This window comes from Homo sapiens, chromosome 12 (assembly GCF_000001405.40).
Source record: "Homo sapiens chromosome 12, GRCh38.p14 Primary Assembly".
NCBI lineage: Eukaryota > Metazoa > Chordata > Mammalia > Primates > Hominidae > Homo > Homo sapiens.
Genome location: NC_000012.12, coordinates 26056494 through 26080119, shown reverse-complemented (window position 1 = coordinate 26080119; position 23626 = coordinate 26056494). Strand labels below are relative to the sequence as shown.

At 37.4% G+C, this 23626-nt stretch overlaps 1 protein-coding gene across 23 annotated transcripts in view; it reads right to left on the bottom strand.

The window, feature by feature from the left end:
* The window catches only part of RASSF8 (Ras association domain family member 8), a 121658-nt gene continuing 98262 nt past the window's right edge, over positions 231-23626 (bottom strand). For 22 of the 23 annotated variants that reach the window (NM_001394094.1, NM_001394096.1, NM_001394095.1 and 19 more), the window contains 3 exons: positions 14733-15622; positions 12407-12551; positions 7251-11423 (listed from right to left, as the gene is read on the bottom strand). In NM_001394094.1, the coding sequence (NP_001381023.1) occupies positions 11302-11423; positions 12407-12551; positions 14733-15622 (1157 nt within the window). In that variant the 3' untranslated portion in view covers positions 7251-11301. Of the gene's footprint in view, positions 1088-7250; positions 11424-12406; positions 12552-14732; positions 15623-23626 lie in introns of those variants that run through there. The other variant, NM_007211.5, reaches the window with a different exon arrangement.

Genomic DNA, 23626 nt, shown 5'->3' with positions numbered 1-23626 from the left:
CCTTTTTTAAGGCTGAATAATGTGTATATATGTGTATGTGTGTGTGTGTGTATATATATATATAATATTATATATATACATATACAATTTCTTTATTCATCCATCCATTAATGGTCACTGAGGTTGAATCTTGGCTATTGTGAATAATTCTTCAATGAACATGGAGTGCAGATATCTCTACAAGATGTTGATTCCATTTCCTTTGGGTATCTATTCAGCACAGGGACTGCTGGGTTGTATGATAGTTTTAATTTTTTGAGAAACCTCTACACTGTTTTCCACAATAGCTGTACTGATTTACATTCCCACCAACAGTATACAAAAATTCCCTTTTCTCCAGACCCTTGCTGACACTTGCTATCTCTTATCTTTTTGACAATAGCAGATGTAACCTAACAGGTGTGAGGTGGTATCTCATTGTGGCTTTGATTTGCATTTCCCTGCTGATCAGTGATGTTGAGCACTTTTTCATATACCTGTTGGCTGTTTTTATGTCTTCTTTGGAAAAATATCTATTTTTTTTTTTTTTGAGATGGAGTCTCACTCTGTTACCCAGGCTGGAGTGCAGTAATGCGATCTCGGCTCACTGCAACCTCCACCTCCCGGGTTCAAACAATCCTTCTGCCTCAGCCTCCCGAGTAGCTGGGATTACAGGCGCGTGCCACCACACCTGGCTAATGTTTCATATTTTTAGTAGAGATGGGTGTTAGCCCATCATGGTGTTAGCCAGGATGGTCTCAGTCTCCTGACCTTGTGATTCTCCCACCTCGGCCTCCCAAAGTGCTGAGATTACAGGCGTGAGCCACCATGCCCAGCCCCTTTGACCATTTTTAATTGGATTATTTGTTTTCTTTAAGTTCTGTGAGTTCCTTATATAGTTTGGATATTAAACCCTTACCAGATAACGGTTTGCAAATATTTTCTCCCAATCTACAGTCCACCTTTTCATTTTGGTGATCGTTTCCTTTGTTGTGCAGGAGTTTTGGGTTTAATGTAGTCCCACTTGTTCATTTTTGCTTTTCTTGCCTGAGCTTTTGGTGTGATATCTAATCTTTACACTCCTGCTTATCAGAAAGAATGATGATCCCTAGATAAAACAGAAGAAACACACAACAACAAAAAAGAGTTAAGGTTGGTGAATTTGTTTTTGTATACATAATCATGATCTCAATTACTAGCTTTAGTTTGGGTCTTTGTCTTTTCGGTTAGCGCCTTTTTTTTTGAGAACCTTCTAGAAATATTCATTTAAGTTTACAAGAGTACTTGACAATGAATTATTTTTGTTTAATGTCCTGAATTTTAAAAATACATATCTTTAGGTTATAAAGCTGTATTATATTTGGAGGAGGATATGTAGCAAAAGAAGGCACCATTAAATCCAATGGTTATTCCTTACTACTATTTTGGGAAATAGACTAAACCAAGTTTGTGTCTATTCATAGAAGGACATCTTACCTGTGAATTTAATTTTAATTTGGGAAGAATTAAGGGTAATTCAATTCAGATTTTAAACATGTGTTTATATTTAAAATATCTTCTTCCTGCATTATATTAGATCTGAGAATGATCAAGTGAGTACTTGGAAGGGGTTACTGGCTCACAGCCAGGAAAAGGCCTATATATTCCAAATCTGTTGCTTACAAACAGAAAGCTGGACTCCAGAGGCCTCCCAGGCTTCTCAGACCTCTCTCACTGAAGCCTGATGTGGGTTATGTGGCCCAGATTACTCCTTTTCATTTCTGCATGGCCTGCCCACACTTCCTTCACCTTTACTCCAAGGCCATCTTTTAAGAGAGGACTTCTCAAGCCACTGTATAAAATCACAAGCACTTCCTATCCCTCTTTGCTGCTTTTATTTTTCTCATTAATTCTAATCACAATTGAAGATACTAATTTTTTGCTTCTTTGTTCAACATCTGTCTTCCTCTTTAAGGTATGAATTCCACATGGGCAGGGATTTGGTTTTTGTGATTCACTGCTATATCTCCAGTGTCTACTACACAGTAGGCATTCAATAAATATGACTCAGTGAAAACTTGTTTACTCTTCAAAAGCCTAATTCACCTCCTCATCAGAGTCTTCCCGGATTTACTCAGTTATCACCTGCTTATGCTTCTGTAGAACTCTGCCTTCAACAAAATTAACCTCGATTTTGACCTGACATTAAAGCCCACATCTTCCCTCTTTATTATTTCAGAGGTTTTAGAGATAAGTATTTTAACAAAGTATGATCCTGCATATGCACTCTGAAACTCAATTACATACATACAAGTTATGGAAGATTTCCCAGTAGAAAAATGTGAAAAACTGGATTTTAATGAACTGTCAGTTCAATGATTCAGTAAGATGAAGTTCCAAAAAAACCAGCCAACCAAACCAGTTTAGCTTTAGCCTGACTCCTAACAATGAGCCAGGTTCCTAATTTAAAGAGAGTTTTCAAACTATACTACAAGTCTACAGTAACCAAAATAGCATGGTACTGGTACCAAATCAGAGATATAGACCAATGGAACAGAACAGAGGCCTCAGAAATAACACCACACATCTACAACCATCTGATCTTTGACAAACCTGACAAAAAAAAGAAATGGGGAAAGGATTCCCTATTTAATAAATGGTGCTGGGAAAACTGGCTAGCCATATGTAGAAAGCTGAAACTGGATCCCTTCCTTACACCTTACACAAAAATTAATTCAAGATGGATTAAGGACTTAAGTGTTAGACCTAAAAACCATAAAAACCCTAGTAGAAAACCCAGGCAATACTATTGAGGACCTAGGCATGGGCAAGGAGTTCATGACTAAAATACCAAAAGCAATGGCAACAAAAGCCAAAATAGACAAATGAGATCTAATTAAACTAAAGAGCTTCTGCACAGCGAAAGAAACTACTATCAGAGTGAACAGGCAACCTTCAGAATGGGAGAAAATTTTTGCAATCTACCCATCTGACAAAGGGCTAATATCCAGAATCTACAAAGAACTCAAACAAATTTACAAGAAAAAAGCAACCCCATCAAAAAGTGGGCAAAGGATATGAGCAGACACTTCTCAAAAGAAGACATTTATGCAGCCAACAGACACATGAAAAAATGTTCATCATCACTGGTCATCAGAGAAATGCAAATCAAAACCACAATGAGATACCATCTCACACCAGTTAGAATGGCAATCATTAAAAAGTCAGGAAACAACAGATGCTGGAGAGGATGTGGAGAAATAGGAACACTTTTACACTGTTGGTGGGAGTGTAAACTAGTTCGACCATTGTGGAAGACAGTGTGGCGATTCCTTAAGGATCTAGAACTAGAAATACCATCTGACCCAGCAATCCCATTACTGGGTATATACCCAAAGGATTATAAATCATGCTACTATAAAGACACATGCACTTGTATGTTTATTGTGGCACTATTCACAATAGCAAAGACTTGGAACCAACCCAAATGTCCATCAATGATAGACAATTAAGAAAATGTGGCACATATACACCATGGAATACTATGCAGCCATAAAAAAAGGATGAGTTGATGTCCTTTGCAGGGACATGGATGAAGCTGGAAACCATCATTCTGAGCAAACTATCACAAGGACAGAAAACCAAACACCACATGTTCTCACTCATAGGTGGGAACTGAACAATGAGAATACTTGGACACAGGGTGGGGAACATCACACACTGGGGCCTGTGATAGGGTGGGGAGCTGGGGGAGGGATAGCATTAGGAGAAATGCCCAATGTAAATGACGAGTTAATGGGTGCAGCAAACTAACAGGGCACATGTATACCTATGTAACAAACCTGCACGTTGTGCACATGTACCCTAGAACTTAAAGTAAAGTATAATTAAAAAAAAAAAAAGATTTTTGTGATCAGTCCTGGCAGTCACAGTCACGATTGGTGTAGAGTGTGTTCAGGAGAGAGGAGACTGAAGACTGCACTATTTGCAAGAATCGGGAATATGTAGCCTGGGAAAGAGAAGACTAGGGGGCATCATAGATGCCCCCCAAATACCTGAAGTGCTGTCATATTGATGGGAAATTGTTTCTTCTATGTGGCCTTAAAGAATGTTGAAATTACAAGGTAATCTACTTTGCCTCAATAAAAAGACCTTTTTAGCTTGTCGAGATGGGCTGGGATGGTGTGGCCCTCAAAGGATTCAGATGTAGGCTGGCGTTGGTGGGGTGATGTAGGAGCAGTTTGTGGCTGTGCCCAATGACTGTCACAGTGGCTTCTCTGGTGAGCCCCTCCCTTGCCTGAGTGAGTTGTTCCTGGTGTACATGCCGCACTCCTCCCTGTCTCCCCAGCCTCCCTTTGTGTGGTGACTGTTGCTGATTGTTTCTTGTTTAAAGTGCCTATGATTTGCTTTATGCCTAAAAATATTTTGTTACTAAGTATTTCAATTTGTTTATTTGATCTTCACACTTCCAGCATTGCAGGAGACTTGTAAATATTGACTTTGTGTACACGGAATTTGTACTGTCCACCTTCTTCACTTCTTTCATTCTGGACCATGTCAGACCCTCTATCACCTTGGACACAAACACATGGCAGATAAAAGAGAGTGGTGGATATAGAACATGCAGTCAAGTATAACGCTGGGAAAACAGGATTCCAACATACTGGATGATGAGACTTGTGGATGGCTAAATTTGGTGCAGAGAAGAGCACTTCTTCCAAATCCATGTCATTCTCACAGGGAACACTGCAAAAACACTCTATAAAAAGGAAGCCCATTTGAAGGCCCACCTCTTGAATACATATTCTATTCTCCATGTTTTTATTCTTTTTCCTTGCTCCTGTGCCAACCCCTTGCCCAACAGCACAAAGAACAGATTATCTGTGACTACTCACTGAGAGACCCACAGCCATCATTTCCACCACCCTTTAAGGCTGTGGGTAAGTGGTAAACACCTGGAGTATCTTTGATTCTTATTGTCTACTTAGAATATCTATAACTTGTTTGGTTCATTTCCTGGCTCAGAGAAGGTGCCCAATAAAAATTTGTTACGTGCACAAACTGCTTTCTTAGTTTGAGTTACCATCACCTCTGGCCTGGACTCCTACAGGCCTCTTAAGTAGTCTTTCTGGCCTCTAGTCTTGACCCTTCTTTAGTCAGTTCTTCACATATCCAGTCAGAATTATCTTCCTAACATGCTAATCATTTAATTTCCACGCTTAAAATTTGCTTGTGCCTGTCAGGATAAAGTCCAAACTCCTTACCATGGCAACCAAGGCCCCTCATGATCAGATGCCTACTTCCCATCTCTCTTGGACCTCCCGGGCTCTTCACTGTCTGGCTACAGCTCCACCAGACAGCCCTTCTTGTTTATATCACCTTCCAGGATCTTCCAACACACTGGGTTGGGGTAAGTATCTCCTAATGTGTTTGTCTCCGTGACACCCTATCCTTGCCCCTCTAGTGGTTCTTAACATGTTGTACTGAAGTTGTCATCTCTATCATCAAGACTGTAAACCGGCCAGGTGCAGTGGCTCACTGCTGTAATCCCAGCATTTTGGGAGGACGAGGCGGGTGGAACACGAGGTCAGGAGTTCAAGACCAGCCTGGTCAACATAGTGAAAGCCCGTCTCTACTAAAAAAAAAAAAAATTTGGCTGGGCATGGTGGCGGACGCCTGTAATCCCAGCTACTCAGGAGGCTGAGGCAGGAGAATTGCTTGAACCCAGGAAGGGGAGGTTGCAGTGAGCCGAGATCAGGCCATTGCCGTCCAGCCTGGGCGACAATGGGAGACTCCACCTCAAAAAAAACCTCCTGAAGGTAGAGAACAAATATATGCATCTCACTCCAGTGTCCGGACAAAAACAGGGGCTCACTAAATGTCTGTAGAAAGTATAAACGCATCCAGCATATTTATGCCCATTTTATAGGACTCCACTGGTCTTTCCTAATAGACACAGCACACGTATGTGGAGAGGGTAGTGGGTGAAGAGTTAACAGTAGTTCCTGTTTCTTGCTCTGCCATTAACAAAACATGATTTTAGAGGACAGGGTGGATAATTAACATTTTAAAAGTCCCCCAAACTAGGACTTATTGGTATTTTGAATGACTTTAAGTTTCTCATTTCATCTTTGCTTTTATAACGTACTATTATTCTCATATATATACTTTTTTTTTAGAGTGAGACTCTCTCTCTCTCTCTATATATATAGATGGGAAATTGTTTCTTCTATGTGGCCCTAAAGAAAGTTGAAATTACTAGGAAATTTACTTTGGCTCAATAAATACTACTTTGGCTAAATATATATATATGTGTGTGTGTGTGTGTGTGTGTGTGTGTATGTGTATATATATGTGTGTGTATACATAATGTGTATATATATATGTGTGTGTGTGTGTGTGTGTGTGTGTGTATAGAGAGAGAGAGAGAGTCTCGCTTTTGTTGTTCAGGCTGGAATGCAGTGGTGCGATCTCGGCTCACTCCAACCTCCGCCTCCCGGGTTCAAGTGGTTCTCCCACCTCAGCCTCCTGAGTAGCTGGGACTACAGGTGCCCGCCACCACGCCCAGCTATTTTGTTTTTACTTTTCGTACAGACGGGGTTTCGCCACGTTGGCCAGGCTGGTCTCGAACTCCTGACCTCAAGTCATCTGCCCACCTTGGCCTCCCAAAGTGCTGGGATTATAGGCGTGAGCCACTGCGCCCGGCCCTCATGTATAATTTCTAAGTAAAGGTTTAACTTCTTATAAAAATATTCCTATAAAAATGACAATTTATATACTTCCACATTAAAAAGTGGTTAAAATGCAGAAACTGGGCACCGTAAAGCTCATGCATCTCTACCATGGAATACAGAAAAGTGCCTTGAGGTCTGAAACATCTAAGTTCAAATGCTATGTCAGTTACTTAGGGGTTGTGTGATTTAGGAGCAGTTCCTTGGATGGCTGTGAATGTTTAAAGTGTGACCGGTGCCCCATATTGCACTTGGCACGTAGTAGGGACTGAAATGTTAGTTCTCTTCCTCTCACTTATGGTTTTAGGGAAATCTGGGAATACAGAGATTCATTAAGATATCATTTCTTCTTTCACTTTTGAAATAAAAGGCATAGTAGTTTCTTAATTCAGTTTTACTTTGATGAAGCCATCTTTGGAGCAGTAGATGATTCTTTAAGTATATATGAAAAATGTAATTATGTGTAGTGATATGTGCCACTATTCTCTTTGGTATCTTTTAAAGGAAGTAAAATTGTATTTAAAAATATAAAGGATGTAAGAAACAAACTGACAACTGTAATGCCCCAATGAATCCTGAAAATTTATTATTTGGGAGAATATCCAATATTGATTCTTTGTTTTACAGCTCATAATGATCAGAAAATATACATTTAAAATGAAAGTCAAAGAAAAGGATAATTACATATAATACATATTACAGATTTATTTGTACATAAGCAAAGCAGTACTAAAAGCATATTTATGTGCTCACAATTAGTGAACATGGCAATTTTCTGTTTAAAGCTGCAGCAACTCAAATCCTCCTAGGGTCAATAAAGAAAAACATATTGAGAAATACATTTAGGGCTATCACCATGTCTGGCTGTAAATCTATTTTTTAATCTTTCCCCTCCCCCCATATATATGTATATACTTTATTGCCTTTATATTTCTGCTGGTTTAATATAATTAGTATACGAAATAGTTTTCTGCATTTATTTGGTTTCTAAAAATATATAAAATGCATTGAAAAGAGCTCCTGCAGCTTTCAGGCAGTCACTGTCCTGGCATCGAAAGCTTATTCTGGAGATGTAAAGCAGCAATACTGAATAAATAGTGATTGTTTTGTCTTTTTGATACAGCTGATGGCCTTCACCCCAAACTTAAAAATACTGTAGCAAATAGTATAAACATGCAACTTAAAAAACTGAACACAATACAAAAGTAATAATTATAAGCTAATTTTAACACAATATAAACCAATAAAGACAACTTTAGGTAGGAGAGGGATGTGAACACAGCATCGTTATATAAATTAAGGCCAAATTTATCAAAGGCAATGCACAATGGGAACTGTCCATCTGCCCAAGCACTTTGCATGCCTGAAATCAAAAGTTTTTGTCTTTTCTGTGTTATTTCCTCAATCCATTACAGTTCTATCTTGGAAGATGTTTACAGAAATGGCTTCAAATGAACAGTCTGTTTCTCTGAAGACCATTTTGCTCTTATTCACAGAGAAAATTATCCTTTAATGCAGATGTAAATTACATTTATGCTGTGGAAGCAAGTGCTTACATGTTCTTGTTATATATTGCTATACTTCATATTTCACACCATAAATTCTATTTTTTTTTTACTGTATTTATATAGTTTTTACTCTATCAGTCTTGCTGTAGCTCTTGTTTATGACTAATTTGAACTATAGGAATTGATGATTACCTCATTGATGACTGGGAGAATTAAATAGGTAACTCCTATTAATACCAACTGAAGTCTCATATTATAAAAAAGTCCCTGTGCATCAAGACAAAAAACAAAATGTTATCAAACCAAAATATCTCAGAAGGACAAGAAAGGGACTATGGACACTATGTCCACAGGCAACACACTATGGGCCATTCTCTGAGGATGACAGACACTCAAAAGGTCAAATATACCAATGCTATTCCAAATTATTTCTTGGTAAGATAAAAAGATCTTTAAATGTATTTAATACTTGTAGAAAATCACAATAAAACAAGTTGCAATATGATTTTTTTAAAAAAAACACAAAACATTGAAATCTAATTTAGTATTTAGAACCTGAACATTCCCCCAGATGAAAATTTTATATTTGGTATTTTTGTATACCATTGCCCACTACCCCTCCGAAATGTATCCAGGATGTGGCACTTATCTAATTCATTTGTATTTGCAATAGATAAAAATGATCACAAATATACTAAAGTATCTTCAGATGATCCTATGAAAACGAGTTTTTTTCCCTCTGAGTCTTAGAAAATATTCCTTAGATATGTGCTTCCAGAAGTAATATAACTAATTAAAAAGTACAGCTTCTCAATGTATTCAACATATTCACATTTCTATACTTTCGTCGCCTAGGAAATTTTTTTAAATCTGTAATTAGGTCTATGAAGATTATTTGGCAGCTTGGAAATTCTGATGAAGTTGTCAGAGAGGTTAACTGTGATACTCTGCTGGGAACCCAAGACTACTACAAGTTGCTAGGATGCTGCTTGTCCTTACTTAAAGTTATTAGGTTAATTCTGATAACAATTTATAATGAGTTGGATATTGACAGTGTTTTTCGTGGTATGCCAAGGCATCTCTGAAACTCCTAATTGCAAAGTTTAATACTGCCTCCAGTTTAACATTTTGACTTAAAGAAAATGCGATCAATTTATAAAATGTTTTTCTTTGTGAATAAGATCTTGATTTCTCTGAACAACAACAAAATGACTTTATACAGAATGACTTATTTAAAAATAAGGCATATATTGGGCATATGTAAATCATTACTGTCACAAAATCTATAAATTATTTTTTAATCATCCTAATTTTAAATATAGGTAGATAGAAAATAACTACTATAAATTGTGAGCAAATGTGTACAGGTTGTGGTTATTTAGGTAAGAATCATTTACTTCAGTTATTTGCAAAGTAACATAATGGCAAGATCAATTTGATAACTCCAAGAACCCAAAGAAACTCATATCTTCAGTTGAGGTCCGCCACTTAGCTGCACTAGAAAAGGCAACTCTGCATTATGACTTTCAGTTCTCTAGAAGCTTCTATACAGTCTCATAGCCATTCTTAAAAATTTCATAGGAAACCTAAGTAGAGCAGCATTGTCAGCATTCACTAAACCAAAGTCAGTCAAATGTGTTAAAACATCCAAAGTTGCCTTCATGCATAAGACATAGCTCTATTGTTACCATGGCATTACTATATTAATCCACTTTTATTTTGTTGCATGTAAATAATACAGAGGATGTAACTTCTTCAGAATTAAAACTACTTTAAATTTCAGATTAAAGTCTTAATTATACTGTACCAAATCTAACCAGAGGGAATGTAAAAATGGCTAAGTGGTGTCTGACTGAATCTGTCTAAATATTACTTGTAAATCTTAGTTAAGTCACTACTCATCAAAAAGGTGTTGAGTCATATTTGGTTTTACAAATAAAATAACATATGTACAAATGGAGATTAATGTCTTGTAAAAGTCAAGCCTAAAAATAAAAACATATGCTGAATTTGACTTTATATCCTTGCTAAAAAGTACCTAGGTTTAACCTCCTTTCCATCTAAGTGACTGGAAGAAACCACAATGGTCCATAATATGCAGAGCAAATTATGTGCAAGCAATACCTTACCCATGGTGTGTACACCAACAGATCATACATATGAAGCGGGTTATTTTAAAATACATCACTTAAAGCAATGTTCCTGAAGTAGACCAACCCAGCTTTCAGGTATCTATAACTTCCATGTTAGATTAATTCTGAAGATCCATGAGTGTAAATGATAAGACAGGGCAGAAACAAAACACATAATGTATCAGGAAACCCCATGCCTGTTTGGATACATACTTACCAATTACATTTTTGTTCAACAGTGTCTGAAACACTGCAAATGTTTTATACATACAATTTAGCTTATGAAAAATATCTGTTATGCTCTGTGGCCACACGTATATTTGGAAATATTGTAAAGGAACGACTAAATTCCAGATTTAAAAAACCCTGAATTATTTCACCTAATTAAGCAATGGCTAGGACAGTTTCACAAAACAAATGCAAGTGGCTTCCTGTGGAGTTAGCTTCGATGGTGGAGCACCCTAGGACACTTGTGTAGTGTAAATCAGCAATGCATGGATGGAGTCTGGCAACATGCACACGGTCATAATCACACAATATGTAACGTAAGTCAGTCACAGGATAAGTCAATAAAAATATTAAAACATCAACATTCACACATTGATTACATGAAATAAATTAAACTAAGCCAGTCACAAATTTCTCTTCACTCTTACTTAAGTCACGGCTTATTTATGTATACACACTATATAATACTTTCCTAAAGCTCTCAAAATGCTACAAATAAAAACGAAGGCTTTGCATTATAGCTGCTGGACAAAAATATCAACACTGTTGATGTGTGAAAACACAGTTTCTTTGTTCTTTAGCATCAGTGCACAGGGTATGGCTCCAAGTGGTATGCAATTTAGGAGAGAAAAAACATACAGCGTCTTGTGGAATAGATCCTCTGTTCATCATTGGCACAAATCAAAAAGGAAGTTTACTGTCCTTGGTACCTCTGTTGGGTCTCCTCCCTAAAGACAGATAATGTCATACATATATGCCTTCAGGATTAAAACCAGATGAGATAGGATTCTGCAGAATGCGGAGATTACTGGGGAGCTGCCGAGATGAACCAGGTCGCTTCAGGGACCCAGACTGGAATGGTGCCTCTAAACAGGAAACAAAGAGAGCCACCTGATGAGCTCGTCAACTTGGAGTACTTAGCAATATAAAAAATCAGACTGCTTCCTACCCCAAAAGGGAAAACTGCATAGAGCAATAATTGCAATCCCCTGTGTGCCCTGGGCTGGGGGAGAAGGCTAAAACCTTCTCAGGTCTCTTTGATAAACTAGTTTTTGTTGATTTGAACAGTGAATGATCTTTACAAAAGGTGAATATTCTGCTTCTTTTTTTGGTTGTTCACACCATATGCATACACAGATTTGGAATTGTCTTTTAAATATCAGCACAAATTAATAATAACTTTTAGAAGAAAAAGAAGGAAAAGGGGGGCATAAGGAACAGAGAAGCCAAAATTCAAATTAATAGACTATAACTCATATATACTTCAGAAAAAAGTTTTAATAAAGAAGTAGTTTCAAACTAATGATATGACATTTGGTGATTACATGCTCACCTAAGTAAATAAATAACCTAAATGTTACTGGTTTTCCTCTAGAAATGGGAAATATTTTTTTAAAAAAAGAATTTTTAAGTGTCCCACTTAAAAATTAGCTATGAATGTTAGGGTAATATTTTAACTGAATACAAGTAGTTTATTCAAAGTTAAGCAGATGGTCGGGCATGCTGGTTCATGCCTGTCATCCCAGCACTTTGGGAAGCTGAGGCAGGCATATCACTTGAGCTCAGGAGTTTGAGACTAGTCTGGGCAATATGATGAAACCTCATCTCTACAAGAAATACAAAAAAAGAAAATCAGCCAGGTATGGTGGCATGCACCTGTAGCCCCGGCTACAGGAGGCTGAGGTAGGAGGGTCACCTGAGCCCAGGAGGTCGAGGCTGCAGTAAGCCGTGGTAATACCCCTGGCATTCCAGCCTGGGCGATACAGTGATACTATCTCAAAAAACAAAAACAAAAAAAGTTAAGCAGTGAGAATAAAGGGAAAATAAACCATATTTATCAACATCTTACCCCTTTCAATGTCTGCATGTGAGGCCTCTATTTCAATGGGCTCCGCTGGCAAAACGGTAACTTTTGTCCCTGTCTGCTGGATGAACTGCTGGAGATTGACTTGCCGCAACTCCTTAGTCAACTGCTCCAGTTCCTGTTCTTTGTCCTAGATGGAAATTATTATTTTTTTAAATTTGAGGATTCACTACTGGACAGTGCAAGACATCTTTGTGAGGATCCATCTGCTACAGGGGTTAAATGTGCAACATCTGCTTTCATAAAAGCACATTTAACAAATCTGGTTTATATTGACACAATGGGCTAAAGAGGTCACTTTCACTCTGTGGTGTAGGCCAAGAAATAAGCCAAGGGAAGACAACAGTTTCATTAGTCTGTCCTCTTAAATGTGATGCTTTCCTCTGGAAAACCATTATGCACCCTTCTGAAATAAATATGTCTATAAACTTTCATTAAAAAACAAAAACAAAAATGGGTTTCTCAGTCTGTAAACTCATTGGTGGAAAATAAAAAGAAAAAACCCCACAGGTTTTTACCCATCTCTGTGTTGCAGCAATCTTGCTAAGCTGGTCACAAATTTACATATTAACCACTTCATATTAACTTATAACTACAAAGTTAATTGTAATTTGTTCCATGGATTTAGAGTTCTTGTTTTTGTAAGCTGTTTCAATTTTCATGGGATACATTATTGAGATTTATCTTACAGCATGAGGAAAGCAAGATTCCCACAAGATTCTCACTATGGAATTCCTAAATCCTTGACAAAGATCTGAGAACTACAGAGTCCTACAGAAGGAGATCAAGTTTGGATAGCTGGAAAGCTGTAAAAGCAAGGAGGGGCATCCTATTATTTAAACAGCTTTTCATTTCTTTCTTTCCTCTACTGTATATAAGAAAAAGTACCCTGGCTCTACCCAGGCTGGGTGGGTCCCAAGGATTTGGTAGGGGTTGGGAAGAGATTAGAAGTGAATGGTTGTTTTCTCCACTTATTTGAGTGTAGGGGGTACTTGGGGATATATCAATATTTGATTATCAGACACTTTTCAGTGGGTAGAGGGATTTGCTAGTAATGACTGTGATAAGTTAGTGTTTTCTGTGATATCAAAAGCAACACAACTTCCACTTGTACCTTTTTTTAAATGTCAAAATGAATCCCAATAGTAAAATACTGACAAATTAGAGGCTGACAAGCTTCTACTGCATGAGAAATTCTTGATTTTCAAAATTTGGGTGGTAGTTTTATCTCTTACTACAGATAATGACGGAGAAAGGAGATCACATCAGTTCTTCCTAAAACCTCAGCTTTCTCTGATTGTGGAACTAACTGTTGATGTTCTAAAGCAGCTCTTCTCAAACCTCACTGTACACAGGTATTACTTGGGCATCCTGTTTCAATGTAGATTCTGAATTTCTTACAAGTAGTACCCTGGAGCTGCCTGGCATGGACTACACTTTGAATCGTAAGCTCTAAACCAGCACAGTCCAACAGAACCTCCTTCAATGGTGGAAATGTTCTGTGTCTGCACGGCCCGTACAGCAGCTACTGGGCACTTGAAATGTGACCATGTGTGACTAAAAACAGAATTTTAAATTATTTAATAATTTAACTGCCTTATTATTTAATCTTAATTTAAATTTAAGTAGCCATATTGTAATCAATTGTGTCTCTTTCTCGTCCCATCTGATACAGACTGTTTGATACATCTTTGCAACTTCCGCAACATAATCACAGGGTCTTTTCAAGAATGGGTATCCAAGAAATGTAAGTTGAGTGATTAGGGTTTAAGTGGCAAAATAGAACTTCTCGTATGTGAACTAGAAAGGGGGAAAATCAGACAGAAATCTTTGTGCCTCTCTCAGGAAAGCAAAGGAGGGTACTGTGGAGAGGGGAGAAGGGACGGGGGCTGTTTATGTGTCAGGAAAGAAGCTGGGATTGGCTGGCAACAATGGAGAAGTGACAGATAAGCAGTCAGCTAGCCACAACAATCCCTGGCCAACCAATCCATGGACAGCTCTTTCAGCTCTAGTTTCCCTATCTCTGAAAGGAGAAGGTGAGATTCACTATCTCATCATTAGTGTCCATTCCATCCCATTATCTAACGCTACAACTGTCACAGTAAGACAAGGCTCTTCCATGGAGAAGGATCCGCAAGGCTACTGCTCCCATCTAAGCTGTCGTAAGTCACAAGAGTTCGACAAAAGTTTTAAACAAGGCTGGGTTTCTAATTCTTTGAATATAAGGAAAAATTGACAATGATGAAAAGGAGATTCCAAGAAGATACTATTTTACATGGGCCAAACATTCTATTTATCAAAGTGTCCCTACCTGTAAGCGTTTGGTGGCTTGTCCAAGAGATCTTTCCACAGCTTTGATGCCATTTTCCAACCTCAGACTCTGCTGGCCTTGAATGTCAATCTCCCCTTTGACCTTACCGATCTTTCCTTTAACCTCTTCCTCATTGACCTGTGCCTCTTGAACTTCCCGTTGCAATTTTTCTGCTTCAAGACCACTTTCCATAGTCCGGATCTGTGCCAAATAGTCCTTTAATTTGTTTTCACATTCTGTTATTTTCTGTCTTATTTCTTGAAGTTGATCCTTCAGCTGTTTTTCATTTTCCTGTTCAATCTGTAATTCATTTTCCCAGAATTCTTCCTCCTCAATTTCTACATCGTTTCTTTTGATCTTTTGCTCTAGACGGACAATTTCCTCTTCAAGGTTGGAATTATACTTTTGCTCCCAAAATCTTATTTCTATTTCATTAGATTCCAGCTGTTTCTCAATGGATTGAAGCTTCTCTGTCTGCAGACGGATTAGCTTCTTCAACTCATCTGCTGTTGTTTTGCAGTTATTCAGCACCTTTTGCTTAAACTCAGTTTCTTTACCTTTTCCAAAAATGTCCATTAATCCTTTGGCACCTCCTGTAAATGTCAGTGATTTCCTTTTCGGTTCCCTCCTTTTGATTGATTTGTCAATCTGAGGCCTCAGTTTAGCTAAGGGGGGCAGACTCTGCCTGTATAAAGTTCTTTCAGGAATTCGAGCCACACTGTCTGAAGTGGGTCGCTCACTGAGAGACGGCCCAGTTCGTCGTAGAATGAGCTGCACATCACTAGCATACTGCCCCCATTTGTTTAAGGATATGATAGGATTTTCATGAGGTGCTAAGTGTCTTTCAGTATCTCTCCATTTCTCTATAAGGGTGTACCTTCCAGTTCGACCTATGTAAAAAAGGTAAGAATAACTTGTCAAAATGGGATATGTAATAGTTAAAAAATGGAGTAAGAATGCCATTTGATGATTGTGTATTTTCGATTAGCATCAGAGGGTCAAGTTTGAGTCTAGTTCAGGTTCCTTTAAAACCTTTACTTGAAGATACCAAACCCCTCACGACATGTAACAACATAAAATCAGAAGATGTGTATTGCACATACTCTTTAGGCTTGCTTAGAAATTCAACTTTATACTTTAAACCTTGGTGGGACTCTTATACTCTTGCCAAATACCTGGCTGCCTAGAACTTCTCATTTGGGGCAAGACTGAACAAAGTTTATTTTCTAGCTGAAACAAAGGACAACAGAATCGCCATGTGAAACATGAGGGGCTGGTCCAGGAACTAGGTGGAACTTCAAAACTCAAATACATTTCCACTGTGGAAATCCCTCGGCTTTTTTCCACATCAGAACTTGGGAGGGCTGGAGGCCCCACTTCTCCTCCTGAAAGGAGACATGGGGACCAGTGGAGAACTGTGACTCAGCCACAGGAGGTGCCCAGGTCTCCTCTCCATCTCCACCTGAGTGCTCCACCAACCCATCGCTCACACAGCTGACATCTTCCTGGACACCCATGACAAACAAAAAACCAGCTCAATGAAAAAAACTCTTCAAAACAAATTCATATAAAAAGAGGGGCCTGAAGAGAAGACTTGTTCAGTTTTGGTAATATGATAGTATCAGAGATTCTTCTTCTAAAAAAAAAAAAAAAACTCAAAGCAAAATATTGTTAAAAACAAACCAGCAGGCTGGGTGCAGTGGCTCACACCTGTAATCCCAGTATTTTGGGAGGCAAAGGTGGGCAGACTTCTTGAGCCCAGGAGTTTGAGACCAGCCTGGGCAACATGGCAGAACCCTGTCTCTACAAATAAAATATGAAAAAGTTAGCCGGGAATGGTGCTGTGCACCGTAGTCCTAGCTACTTGAGAGGCTGAAATAGGAGAATCGCCTGATCCTGGGAGATCAAGGCTGCAGTGAGCTGTATTGTGTCACTGCACTCCAGCCTGGGTGACAGAGTAAGACTCTGTCTCAAAAAAAAAACAAAACAAACAAACACCAGAATACAATCACATATACATTGAAAAATATACTGAATCTAATCATTATGAAAGTAAGATAAAGTTTCAGAAGAATATGATTGTAATGCCATAAGCTTGAACATGCTTTTTAAATATTTTCATTTGAGTGGGTCAGATAGATTATTTAAATTTTGTGAAAAGTGTACATAAATAATTACAAAGAAAAAAAACCAACGCTGCCATCCAGCAATTATACTTGTATAAACAGCTATTGATTGATTTACCTTCCTGGCTTTCTTTTTTAAATTTCATGAGCTTCTGAGCCAATAGTAGTATTTTTGCAATTACTGCATCAATAAATGGAAATCTAGATGTGTAAATATCAACACCCATGTATGTAATTCATGAGGAGCACATTAAAAAATGATTTTGCTATAAGCATATGAGTGTGTTCTCCTTTAGGGAAACCTGAATTTGGGGTATAGCTGGAAGTTGGGGTTTTGGAGGCAAACAATCCTACGTGAGTTACTTACTAGATAAGCAGCACAACTTCCCTTCTAAAACGCTTCGCAGATTCTGAGGGTTAGCACCTACCACACTGCCTGGCCCACAGCAGGCATTCAACACGTGGTAGCTAGTAAGACATTTTTCCTATAACAAAAGGGCTGACCACAGAATTCCTTTAAATAGTGATGTGTCATCACAATGATCTTTTATTTATTTATTTATTTTTTCCCCTCCCTTGCCCAACAATCTGACTTTTAAAAAGCAACTTCCAACTATGTAAACTAGACAGAGATGGGACAAAGGTTCTGGAGTAGAAAGGTCTGGGTTCAAATGTGGCTCTGCCTCCTACTGTGCTTACCTACATGATCTGAACAATTAAATTTCCTTTAGCCTCAGTCTCCTCATCTGTGGGATAAGAGTAGTATTGCCTTATCTGACAAGGTGGTTCTGAGACTCAAGTGAGAATGTAAAATATAAATATGTTTGTGAAATTGAAAAGTGCTAGATAATATTAGTTACATTTATCAAAATGCCCAGGCTAATAAGGGGGATGAAAAAGAAAACCTTAGCACAATAGATTAGCTTCTTGAAATAAAAAATGTTTCCAATGATTTTCAGGTTAAAAATTACTCTAATTGCTCCCAAAGAAAAACCACATGACACATCTGCAATGTTAAAACTGTCCCATGTGTACAAACTGCTTCAAAGGTCATAGCACTATGCCTATCAACTGCTTTTAGGAATCTTACTCTTCTCTGAACCTCTGTGTCCTCCTTCGGTAACAGGAGGGGTTAGATAAACCGGTAGAGTTCTTTCCAATTCTATCAGCCCAATGAAGTATCTTTAGAAGGAAAACCGAATCATCACATTATATGAACTAAACAAAATATTTTAAAGACCCTAATTTATTCATAATTAAAAATAAAACTAATTTTCCAGTGCTTACTGGTACTGCTACCCTCTGAGAATGTCTTGGAAGGTTATTTAGAATTGCTTTTACTGCCAGTATTGGCTTTTGTTAAATAATGCACATTTAGTACCACTGGGTCAAAAAATTCCATCCAGCAATATAAAAAAGCTTTTTTTAAAAAAGGCAAATGAATTAATAGATTTGATTTTATTATATAAATTGGGTTTTAAATATTTTATATAGGAATTAAATTCCACAATCGCTGTTTTTAATATCCATAACTTGGCAGCACTCTACAGATTCTATTTCCTTCATTTACACAGATTCTGATTCCTCCTGCAAAACTCCTTTTAGCGTATTTGACCACATGGATACATTCAGTTAAACCTTCTGTACTATTTTGATGTAATCTTAAAATGAATAAAAAGGAATATCTATCTGTCTGTCTGTCTATCTATGGCATTTGTAGTTTAAGCTGTTTTTGCATTGTAGGACTGTGTGACACTATCAAATAATTTCGATCCAATTTAGTGGGGTAAAAAATATTAATTATACTTTTAAATATTGAAGCAACTGAGACTAATCCCAAGAATCATTAAATTTATATACTGAAGAAACTTACATACAGATTTTAATGCATTAATGAGATCTTATTGAATGACTGATTGACATAAATTAAAAGAAAACAGGATAACAGCTTACTTTCACTTAAGAAAGCAGAATACACAACTATAAAGTAACATAACATTTTGAAAATACACACCAAAACTCAAACAAGGGTCACTCAGAAATTTATGCCCTGAATTCAACCATTTTTTAATACTCCAACAATTTTTATAATTTTAGGAAATTTCTCCTTACAGTCATAAATCAAAATCATGATTTAAAAGTTACATCTTGCTATTTAGTTAACAAATGTATATTGAACACCACATATGTGTCAGAAACAGTGCCAGGCTCTAGAGAAATAGATTCTACTAAACATCTTCATCACCAACCCTCTGGAGTCTTCATTTTAACTGACATTTGATATTTTCTTCAGTACCAAATCCTCCACACCCCAAAGATGAATATTGGACATTATTCAAAAGAACATGACAAAGAAATGGCACTAATCTCTTATGAATTTAATGCTAACATATCTTCAGGTTTCTGGACATATGAGAAATAATGTCAGTAACACCTGACTTATTCTTTATCTATGGAGGATAAGCTATCCAACAGCACTGAATTTTTCTGATAGTAGATATTTTGCTTCTTGAGCTATAAATATTTTAATGAAAATTTTGTAAAATACATTACACAGTCCAGGACTCTTATGCAAACTCTAGTGAACACAACTAGCTTTTTCCGTAATGACTTAGAATTCTTACAGTAAGCGTTGATCTCTGTAACAGAACTTACACTTTATTATCTTATAGCCTGTAAAATGCTTTTGATGCTTTTATATATATCATCTTAGTTAGTTCTGTGAGTTAAGCAGTATAGATATTACGATCCTCATCTTATCAGTGAAGAAATAAAAGCTTAAAGAATTTTAAGTAATTTTCTGATGACATTTAGTTATTTTTTTACTATACTATTTAAGTTCTGAGTGAAACTACTAAAATAACTCTTACCCCACAGTATATCTTAGAATAACAGTGATACAATAAAAAATTATCTCTGAATATACCTGTCAGCCAGTTGTGCATTCAAACCATAGTTACATCATCCACAGTGTATCTTCCCAGTGTATATCATGTAATCACAGAATTACTGTCTACTTAGAATTATATGATAAGCTCACTACTACTAAACATAATAAAAATAGTGGTCAGGCACGGTGGCTCACATCTGTAATCCCAGCACTTTGGGAGGCCGAGGCGGGCAGATCACGAGGTCAGGAGATCGAGACCATCCTGGCTAACACGGTGAAACCCCGTCTCTACTAAAAATAGCAAAAATTAGCTGGGCGTGGTGGTGGGTGCCTGTAGTCCCAGCTACTCGGGAGGCTGAGGCAGGAGAATGGTGTGAACCTGGGAGGCGGAGCTTGCAGTGAGCGGAGATCACACCACTGCACTACAGCCTGGGTGACAGAGTGAGACTCCGTCTCAAAAAAACAGTTACAGAGTACCTGTGATTTACTGGGCATTGTGCTGGTTACGTTAAAAAAATATAAACCAAAATAAGTAGAAAACACTACAAACCAGAAGATTTTGGGAGCTGTTCGTTAACACAGCATAATCTAACCCATCTTGACTGATGCATGCTATGAATTAACATGTATTAACATTCATTAAAATAATATTCTACAGATGTGGAAAATACAGAAGCTAATTAAAATAAAAAATTAGACTATTGTTATAAATATTAAAATTGCAAATGAATATGTGGAAAATTAATTCACAATACAGTAAATGAAAAATGAGACAATGAGACTCAAAACTACAAAAAGCATATGAAGAGTATAATTTTTTAAAAGCTCATCTATGGGTACACAAAAAACATTGTTTATTGCTAGGAAGTAGAATCATGAGTGATTCTCTTACCTTCTTTGTGTTTTCTAAATTTCAAGATAATCTACAATAAATAATATTACTTTATAAATGTAGAAAAGTAATCAATTTTTAAATTTCTGAAATTGATATTTTACATGTGAAGCTAAGAGTTAAATATGACAAAGTACATATTTCTTTCCTTGTCTTCTCAATGACACCAAGTATCAAAGTACCGTGGATCAGAAATCCTTTTCCTCAATCTCCTTGATTTCCTTCTCTTCCTTCTTTCCTCTCTCATCTTTTGTTAGCTGGACTTTTATTTCTGTGTTAAGCTCTAAGCTGCCTGAGGGCAGAAATACATCCTTGTCATATTTTTGGTTTGAGATAAAAGCAAATGCATTTTCTCCATTATAACTTGAGATAGATGATCTGTCAAAGGCTTTCTGTTTCACTTAGATTTGAGAAGCAGTTTAGACTCTGAAAAAAATGCATTTCTGAGATATTTTACAGGGGAAACAAAGTAGAACATTTAAATTGGGAATGTTTCAGAAAGTTCAGGGTGTACAGTGACAAACTCCGAGTGCACTCTTGCAGGACAGTTGAACCACTTCATGCCAAGAAGAGGTTTCAACTAAGGTTTCACTTTTAGTTATTCTGTCATCATTTGAGCATGTGTCCTACATCCATCACCTAAATCTAATCTGTCAAGATTGTCAGATTAGTGTAGAAAAGATTTCTTCCTATAGATTCAACATCTTTCATCAAACTATGTTGTTTCTAGCTCTTTGCTAATTCAATTTGATTGATTAGTAGCATGAAGAAAACCTTAGCTGTCATATATATATTTGCAGGTTGACAACTTGTGTGCATATTTTCATAGTAAGTCATTTTGATAGTTTCTATGGTTTCCTAAAAATAATTTTAACTATCCAGAAAAAAACCTGTAACTCCTAATCAAGAATACACTCTGTGTGTGTGTGTGTGTGTGTGTGCGCGCGCGCGTGCGCATGTGTGTAGTGCCCCCATGAGGCAAAGACGCGCACTTAAACCTAAGAAACCAGTCTACAAATTGCTTCACTATACATTCTTGACAGCCACCTGTGGTTCTGGTCATCAGTCCATGCTCTACTAATAATCTAGCTAGCCACTTACTGTGTTAGGCCTTGGAAGTTCTGGGGTTGCTTTTCAGAGCAGCAATTTTCTCTAATTAATAAACTCTCACCACAGAAATCAGGATCCACAGCTCTCGGCTACTTGCCAGTGGAGTCATCTCCAGATGAATTCTGAGTTCAATGAAGTATTTACGATACAGAAAGAGTTGTTTGGCCAAGTTTGGAGGAATATCATAAAACATTTGTATTGAAGTTGTCAACTTTTCAAAACAGCTCTTGGATTGAGTTATTGAGAAAGTAAAAATAGGAGGGCAGATTTAGTTAAAATGTGTTTTTGGCTTGTTCACAAATAAGTATACTCTGTAGTCCAAGTGGGCAAGCACATACATGGTACCTCCGGGCATTTTCCCCTTGAAATTCTGTGTAAAAAGTGTGATTATGCAAACAACCCCATAAAAGTGGGCAAAGGATATGAACAGACACTTCTCAAAAGAAGACATTTATGCAGCCAACAGACACATGAAAAAATGCTCACCATCACTGTCCATCAGAGAAATGCAAATCAAAACCACAATGAGATACCATCTCACACCAGTTGGAATGGCGATCATTAAAAAGTCAGGAAACAACAGATGCTGGAGAGGACGTGGAGAAATAGGAACATTTTTACACTGTTGGTGGGACTGTAAACTAGTTCAACCATTGTGGAAGACAGTGTGGCGATTCCTCAAGGATCTAGAACTAGAAATACCATTTGACCCAGCCATCCCATTATTGCGTATATACCCAAAGGATTATAAATCACGCTGCTATAAAGACACACGCACACGTATGTTTATTGCAGCACTATTCACAATAGCAAAGACTTGGAACCAACCCAAGTGTCCATCAATGATAGACTGGATTAAGAAAATGTGGCACATATACACCATGGAATACTATGCAGCCATAAAAAAGGATGAGTCCATGTCCTTTGTAAGGATATGGATGAAGCTGGAAACCATCATTCTGAGCAAACTATCACAAGGACAGAAAACCAAACACCACATGTTCTCACTCATAGGTGGGAACTGAACAATGAGAACACTTGGACACAGGGTGGAGAACACCACACACCGGGCCTGTTGTGGGGCGGGGGGATGGGGTAGGGATAGCATTAGGAGAAATATCCAATGTAAATGACTTAATGGGTGCAGCACACCAACATGGCACATATATACATATGTAACAAACCTGCATGTTGTGCACATGTACCCTAGAACTTAAAGTGTAATTTTAAAAAAATGGAACTTCACACACACACACACACACACACACAAAAGTGTCATTATGGACAGATGCAGCTTATAGCACTACTCAACTACCTTGACTTTTGTAAAAACTACTTTTTTTTTTCTTTTTTAGCACTGTCCATGGCTTAATTCCCAAATATAACAAGGAAAGCCAGGTTTGACAATTAATAAACGTAGTCTTCACTAAGAAAAAAAAAGCTGTATATTTTAATTCACATAAATTAAGTGAAGCTCTTAATAGTGACAATTACTAAATAAGCTCATAGAAAGAATATGAAAAAATTAAATGCCTTAATTTTCTCCTCTTTAATAATTAAACTTAAGTCTACATATATAAGATTCTCAAATGCAAAAAGAGTTTCACCGGATGTGAAAGCCCAGAATTTTCAGCATTGCTGCAATATATTCTTGTGCAATAGTGTTTAAGGAAAAATCAAAAGATGTCAATATTACCAGAAAGTCTCTGTCTTGTATAGGGCACTGTAAACCTCTAACAGTGCATCTGCCACATCACAGGTGGCACAATCATCTCTACCAAATGCTAAAGTGCCTTGGCAACAGTATGACTCATTTCAATGCTGAGCTAATTGACATGCTTCCAATATAAACTGGCGAGACATAAAATCAACTTTT